Genomic DNA, 7,839 nt, shown 5'->3' with positions numbered 1-7,839 from the left:
CTATTATGACTCAGTGGGAAAACATGCTAAGCTGAGCATTGAAATAAATTTAATATTTATAGAATTCAGTAGAAGAGCAGAGAAATGTGAAAAAGGAAAGCCTCCCAGTTGAGAACAATGTTTCTCCTTTCTATAATCCTCAAAAATTATCCTTAATCCATGACTGCCTTTTATGCCTACATTTTCTTTGTTACAGGATAAAAAAAATTATTCTCTAGTGCATTCTCACGCTGGGATAAGGACATACCTGAGACCGGGTAATTTATAAAGAAAAAGAAGTTTTTCTTTTCACTCTTCCACATGGTGGGGGACGGCTCACAATCATGGTGTAAGGTGAAGGAGAAGCAAAGACACATGTTACATGGTGGCAGGAAAGAGAGTGTGTGCAGGGGAACTGCCTTTATAAAACCATCAGATCTCATGAGATTTATTCACTATCATGAAAGCAGCATGGGAAAAACCCACCCCCATGATTTAATTACCTTCCACCAGGTCCCGCCCATGACACATGGCGATTATGGAAGCTACAATTCAAATTATGATTTAGGTTGGGACACAGCCAAACCATATCAATTATTATGTTCTTTTAACATTGGTACAAACATAACTTTTTGAGCTACAAAATCCTTGGTTCTGGTAGAATCATGGGCAGGAGTCTAATTTGTACAGAATATAGAAAAAAATGACTTAGTTGAGGAAAAGGTTAGGGAAGCCAACATTGTCTCTACACAGGTGGATTTTCTCAACATTTGCTGCTGAAGAAACTTCTATGTACTATCATCCAAGGCTTTGGGAAACACCAAGTGAAAACCACTGTGTCTGACTGCTCATTATCAACAGAGGGAAGAAAGGTGTGAAATAACAGCTCTGCAATTCATACTTCCCTTTTATGGGGAAGATAGAAGCCCCTGGTAAAGGAAGAAGAGAAGTAAACTGGTCAAATCCCCTTGAAAACATGTCAGGGAGAAACCTCCTGGACACTTACTATTTTTTTGCCAGAGGAAGAGTCATTAAATGTGGAATGCTCTTGGTTGGATGTAAGAAGCCTGGCTAGAATCACTTCTGATAAGCAGACCTGGACTTTATGAAATTATAGAAAATGGCACCGTGAAAACTTTTATGTAATTAGATGAGTAGACATTAGAAAAATTTTACACCCAAAGTTGCTCCCTTCCATATTAATAATGTAACTTTATGCACTAAAGACAGAAATATATCCAGTCAGTGGATATGTACTGGGATGTACATATATCCAGCATATGTACATATGTTGGTGTGACAAAGAATTACTTTGGGACCAGTGATGAATGTCCCATACCATCTCCAATTTTAACTGTACTTCATAATTATCTGTGTACTTTAAATTACTAATAAAACTGGGTAAGTTCTAGAGTTTTGTTACTTTGATTTGATGATCTCACTATTTCTGTTATCCTTAGTAGTAACATCAATATTATGGTATACTTAACTATACAAAAATGTTTTCATGATGTGTTACACATTTTTTATGATTGTTATAAAATTATTTAATTGTTACAAAATTATTTAATTGTTACAAAAATGTTTACATAAGACTAGCTTATATGCACTCACACTGTACTCGTGAGCATTATTCCACTGTTATGACTGAGAAAAATGAGATTTAGAAAGATTAAAGCCTTAGTAAGTTCAAAAGTCTTCCTCCGTGACACAATCTAACACCCCCACTAGCACACACAAGTAAAAAGTACTTCCAAAATCAAAGCTATTAAATTATTACTGGGAATCTTATTTTTTATAAATGAATGATAAGATACAAAATTGGTAATCAAACCATAAAAAAATTTATTGTCCGTTTAAACAATAAATTCGAAACAGAGGGAGAAAATCTCCATGGAAAGTTGTCTTCCACAAGTGATAAAGAATGGGCTGAATCCAAGAGTCTGTAATAGAAAGTGCCATTCTCTGCCTACTGAAGATTGAAAGATTTTTCTTTCTCGGAATGTTTTTTTAAAAGATTATGAAGAAGACAATGCATATTGATGGGCACACCCTGACAGAACCCCAAAAGGGTTACTTTTTTGTATAATTCTCTCCACCTAGTGCAAGCAGAACCTGTGACCAACTCCTCACTAATAGAATATCTCAAAGGGGGCGAGCTAATTTGCAAATCAGTTTAGGTTTAGTTCATTTAATGGCTGTTATTCTTCTAATATCCATTTGGTAGATAAATGAAATCTGATTCAATCAGGTAACATCTCTTAAAAGAAGAATCCCTCCTGAAGAATGGCTGTCAATTGCTGATTTTAAACAATCAGGACAGTGTGAGTTACATAGCTGCAAGAAAATATAATATATTCTTTCAATAAATAAATTTGAAAGAGGACTCCCTAACCTCAAGGAGACCATAGCCTTGATTGACTCCTTGATTTCTGCTTTTTTTGACTCAGAGCAGAGGATACAAGTGAGTTTGGTAAGATGACTGAACAACAGAAATTGTGAGATGATCAATGTGTGCTGTTGCAAGCTGTTAAGTTTTTGATAAATCATTACATGGTGCTGTAGCTGTTAAGTTTGTGACAAATCATTGCACAAATGTAAAAAAAACTAACACAATTAACTTTTTAGAAAATGCATTATCAGATTAACATGTGAAGAAAAATGAGCTGCTTAGAGTCACAGATATTTGGTAATTAAGACGTTATCCCAAGTCAGAACACAAATTTAATGTGAAGTTGTAAACTTCACATGTGAATTTGTAAACAGGGGTCACATTACCATCTTGGAGATTCTAAGTTTTTAAAGGCAAAACAAACAAAAGAAATAAAATGAAATGTAATAGTAAACAGAATACGGATAACCCCATGAAAGACGCATTCTGCAAAGGGAGTATTAAGAAATAACTAGCAGGCCAGGTGTGGTGTCTCACACCTGTAAACCCAACACTTTCAGAGACCAAGGCAGGCTGATCATTTGAGGCTAGGCATTCAAGACCAGCCTGAGCAATATAGTGAAACCTTGTCTTTACTAAGAATACAAAAATTAGCCAGATGTGTTATTGTGCACCTGTACTCCCAGCTCCTCCAGAGGCTGAAGCAGGAGAATCCCTTGAACCCAGGAGGAAAAGGTTGTGGTGAGCCAAAATCATGCCACTGCACTCCAGCCTGGGTGGAACACATGGACACAGGAAGGGGAACATCACACACTGGGGCCTGTTATGGGGTCGGGGGAGCAGGGAGGGATAGCATTAGGAGATATACCTAATATTAAATGACAAGTTAATTGGTACAGCACACCAACATGGCACATCTATACATATGTAACTAAACTGCACATTGTGCACATGTACCCTAAAACTTATAGTATAATAACAAATAAAAAAGAATTAAAGAAAGAGGAAAGAAACATGCAAGGTGGCTCACCAGTGAAGACAGGTTTATTTTAGAGAAAACAAACTTGAGAGGAGCCTTCTCGCCAAGTTAGGTCAGAGGCACACTCTCTTAGAGACTTAGAGCTTTTAAGAATTCCAGATGGGAGCATTTATCAGAGGCTTGGACTGCTTCTCTGTCTCTTTGTTGTTCTTATCTGGGAGGGAGAGCTGTGTGTCTCTTCCCACAGATCTTCCTGCAGCTGCAAGCATACCCCACGAGTGTGCTTTTAGCTTCCCTATCTTAGTGCAGCTCAAGGTAAGGGAATGTGCTTATTAAGGCCTACTGTTTTACTGGGGCCCATTGTATGAGGGTGAAGTTTGGCAGTTACTTAAGAGACTTTTACCCCACCTCCCTCTATGCCTGAGCTGTCGTATCTATGTTTTACTGTCTGCTCTTTCTGCCTGCTTGTAGTTAGAAGAGAAATGATTTCCTTGAAATGCATGAGTCTAAAAAGGAAGCTGGAACTTAAAGTGGTGGTGTTTGTACAAGATGACAGCCCTCCTGCTCTGCCACAGACTCCATTGCAAGAAAAAGAAAAAAAAAAAAAGAAACAACTATCTTCCACCAGTATGCATTTCTCATGTCTTGAATGTTTTAAGCAATGCTTGATTTAAAAAAAAAAAAATGCTTCATGGCAGTTTCAAAAATGTCTTTGATATAATCTATTCTGTTTCACCTTTTTCTCTTCGTTTATTCATGCCAGTGTTAACAGTGCCTTTTTGCTATTTAATTTTTTTAATTTTATTTTTGTACAGAACCAGTATTTAGGACTAATAGAAACCTCTTAAAGCACTGCTTGGTAATGGAATCATCTGTGATGGTTAATTTTGCATATTAAATTGATTGGTTAGTGGGATGGCCTTATATTTGATTAAACATGTCTCAATATGCCTTGGAGGATGTTTCAAGAAGAGTTTCAAGCATTCAAGAAATGGTTTCAAGAAGAGCATTTGGATTCAGGTAAGGCAGATAGCCTGATCCAAGGTGAGGGTGCATCATGCAATCCACTGGAAGCCTGAATAAAACAACAACCACAGAGGAAGATTAGGTTTGCTCTCCCTCTGCCTGGGAGCTTGATCCAGGAAATAGATCTTCTCCTGGCCTTCAAGCTCCTGGTTCAAAGATCATCAGACTCTGACTGGAATCTACAGCATTATCTCTGACTCTGAGGCTTCAAACTATGCCTCTGGCATTCCTGAGTCTCCAGCTTGCAGACAGCAGCAGATCATAGGATTTCTTGCCCTCTGTAATTCCACGAGTCAATGCTTGATTAAAAATATTTTTATTTAACCTATTGGTTCTGATTCTCTGGAGAACTCTGATGCATAAATTATTTTAGCAGGTTATGTTTTAGGTGAAAAATCTATGTGTTGGGAGGCTGAGGTGGGTGGATCACGGGGTCAGGAGATCGAGACCATAATGGCTAACATGGTGAAACCCCATCTCTACTAAGAAAAAAGAAAAAAATATCCAGGTGTGGTGGCATGCACCTGTAGTCCCAGCTACTTGGGAGGCTGAGGCAGGAGAATGGCGTGTACCTGGGAGGCAGAGCTTGCAGTGAGCCGAGATACTGCCACTGCACTCCAGCCTGGGTGACAGAGTGAGACTCCATCTCAAACAAACAAGCAAACAAACAAAATCTATGCCATCTATTAGCTTCATGGAAGATGACTTTATGGCAAAAAGCATGATGAGATGCAGTGGCTTAAAGACAGAGATCACACAACCCATGAGTAAGGCAGCAACAGCATATATGGTTTGGTTACAGAAGGAGATCTGTTCTTATATAAGGCTTATATGTAAACTTAAAAAAAGTTAAATCTAGTGGGATTTAAGCCTTTTACTAACCGGTATAAAATATTCCATTTTCCACTGACATCACCTGCACTCTCATGGCATGAATATGCATACTTCTCTATAATGGCAGATATTGACTATTAAACAACTGATTTGCATATATTGAACCAGCCTTGCATCCCAGGGATGAAGCCCACTTGATCATGGTGGATAAGCTTTTTGATGTGCTGCTGGATTCGTTTTGCCAGTATTTTATTGAGGATTTTTGCATCAATGTTCATCAAGGATATTGGTCTAAAATTCTCTTTTTTGGTTCTGTCTCTGCCCAGCTTTGGTATCAGAATGATGCTGGCCTCATAAAATGAGTTAGGGAGGATTCCCTCTTTTTCTATTGATTGGAATATTTTCAGAAGGAATGGTACCAGTTCCTCCTTGTACCTCTGATAGAATTCGGCTGTGAATCCATCTGGTCCTGGACTCTTTTTGGTTGGTAAGCTATTGATTATTGCCACAATTTCAGCTCCTGTTATTGGTCTATTCAGAGATTCAACTTCTTCCGGGTTTAGTCTTGGGAGTGTGTATGTATCAAGGAATTTATCCACTTCTAGATTTTCTAGTTTATTTGCATAGAGGTGTTTGTAGTATTCTCTGATGGTAGTTTGTATTTCTGTGGGATTGGTGGTGATATCCCCTTTATCATTTTTTATTGTGTCTCTTTGATTCTTCTCTCTTTTTTTCCTCATTAGTCTTGCTAGCGGTCTATCAATTTTGTTGATACTTTCAAAAGAGCAGCTCCTGGATTCATTAATTTTTTGAAGGGTTTTTTGTGTCTCTATTTCCTTCAGTTCTGCTCTGATCTTCGTTATTTCTTGCCTTCTGCTAGCTTTTGAATGTGTTTGCTCTTGCTTTTCTAGTTCTTTTAATTGTGATGTTAGGGTGTCAATTTTGGATCTTTCCTGCTTTCTCTTGTGGGCATTTAGTGCTATAAATTTCCCTCTACACACTGCTTTGAATGCGTCCCAGAGATTCTGGTATGTTGTGTCTTTGTTCTCGTTGGTTTCAAAGAACATCTTTATTTCTGCCTTCATTTCGTTATGTAGCCAGTAGTCATTCAGGAGCAGGTTGTTCAGTTTCCATGTAGTTGAGCGGTTTTGAGTGAGATTCTTAATCCTGAGTTCTAGTTTGATTGCACTGTGGTCTGAGAGATAGTTTGTTATAATTTCTGTTCTTTTACATTTGCTGAGGAGAGCTTTACTTCCAAGTATGTGGTCAATTTTGGAATAGGTGTGGTGTGGTGCTGAAAAAAATGTATATTCTGTTGATTTGGGGTGGAGAGTTCTGTAGATGTCTATTAGGTCTGCTTGGTGCAGAGCTGAGTTCAATTCCTGGGTATCCTTGTTGACTTCTGTCTCATTGATCTGTCTAATGTTGACAGTGGGGTGTTAAAGTCTCCCATTATTAATGTGTGGGATTCTAAGTCTCTTTGTAGGTCACTCAGGACTTGCTTTATGAATCTTGGTGCTCCTGTATTGAGTGCATATATATTTAGGATAGTTAGCTCTTCTTGTTGAATTGATCCCTTTACTATTATGTAATGGCCTTCTTTGTCTCTTTCGATCTTTGTTGGTATAAAATCTGTTTTATCAGAGACTAGGATTGCAACCCCTGCCTTTTTTTGTTTTCCATTTGCTTGGTAGATCTTCCTCCATCCTTTTATTTTGAGCCTATGTGTGTCTCTGCACGTGAGATGGGTTTCCTGAATACAGCACACTGATGGGTCTTGACTCTATCCAATTTGCCAGTCTGTGTCTTTTAATTGGAGAATTTAGTCCATTTAAATTTAAAGTTAATATTGTTGTGTGTGAATTTGATCCTGTCATGATGATGTTAGCTGGTTATTTTGCTCGTTAGTTGATGCAGTTTCCTCCTAGTCTCGATGGTCTTTACATTTTGGCATGATTTTGCAGCGGCTGGTACCAGATGTTCCTTTCCATGTTTAGTGCTTCCTTCAGGAGCTCTTTTAGGGCAGGCCTGCTGGTGACAATATCTCTCAGCATTTGCTTGTCTGTAAAGTATTTTATTTCTCCTTCACTTATGAAGCTTAGTTTGGCTGGATATGAAATTCTGGGTTGAAAATTCTTTTCTTTAAGAAGGTTGAATATTTGCCCCCACTCTCTTCTGGCTTGTAGGGTTTGAGATCTCCATCACCACATAACAAACTACTCCAGAACTGCATGGCACAGAACAATAACCGCTTTATTATGCTAACCCTTGCCAGGCTTTTATAATTCAGTCAAGGTATATGAATAGCTTGTCTCTGTTCCATGGAGTCTGGATGTTTAGCTGATAAGTTTCAAAGAGCTATGTGTAATTCAGATGGCTGGGAGCCAGAATCTGGGGGAGGCTTCTTTATTTACATATCATGTAAATCAATGTCATGATAATAATAATATCAAGACATTTACATGACATGCATATGGACCGAAACACATCGAACACTAGGCTCAAGCGGGCTATCAATGGAAGTATCACGTGCAGACAGGCTTTACATGTGGCTTGGGCTTCCTCACAAAATGGCAGCCTCAGAATCACCCTAACACCACTGCTGCCAAGAATCATTTAGTGTCCTTTA

The sequence above is a fragment of the Homo sapiens genome, chromosome Y (assembly GCF_000001405.40).
Source record: "Homo sapiens chromosome Y, GRCh38.p14 Primary Assembly".
Classification (NCBI taxonomy): domain Eukaryota; kingdom Metazoa; phylum Chordata; class Mammalia; order Primates; family Hominidae; genus Homo; species Homo sapiens.
This window is presented reverse-complemented; position numbering follows the sequence as displayed.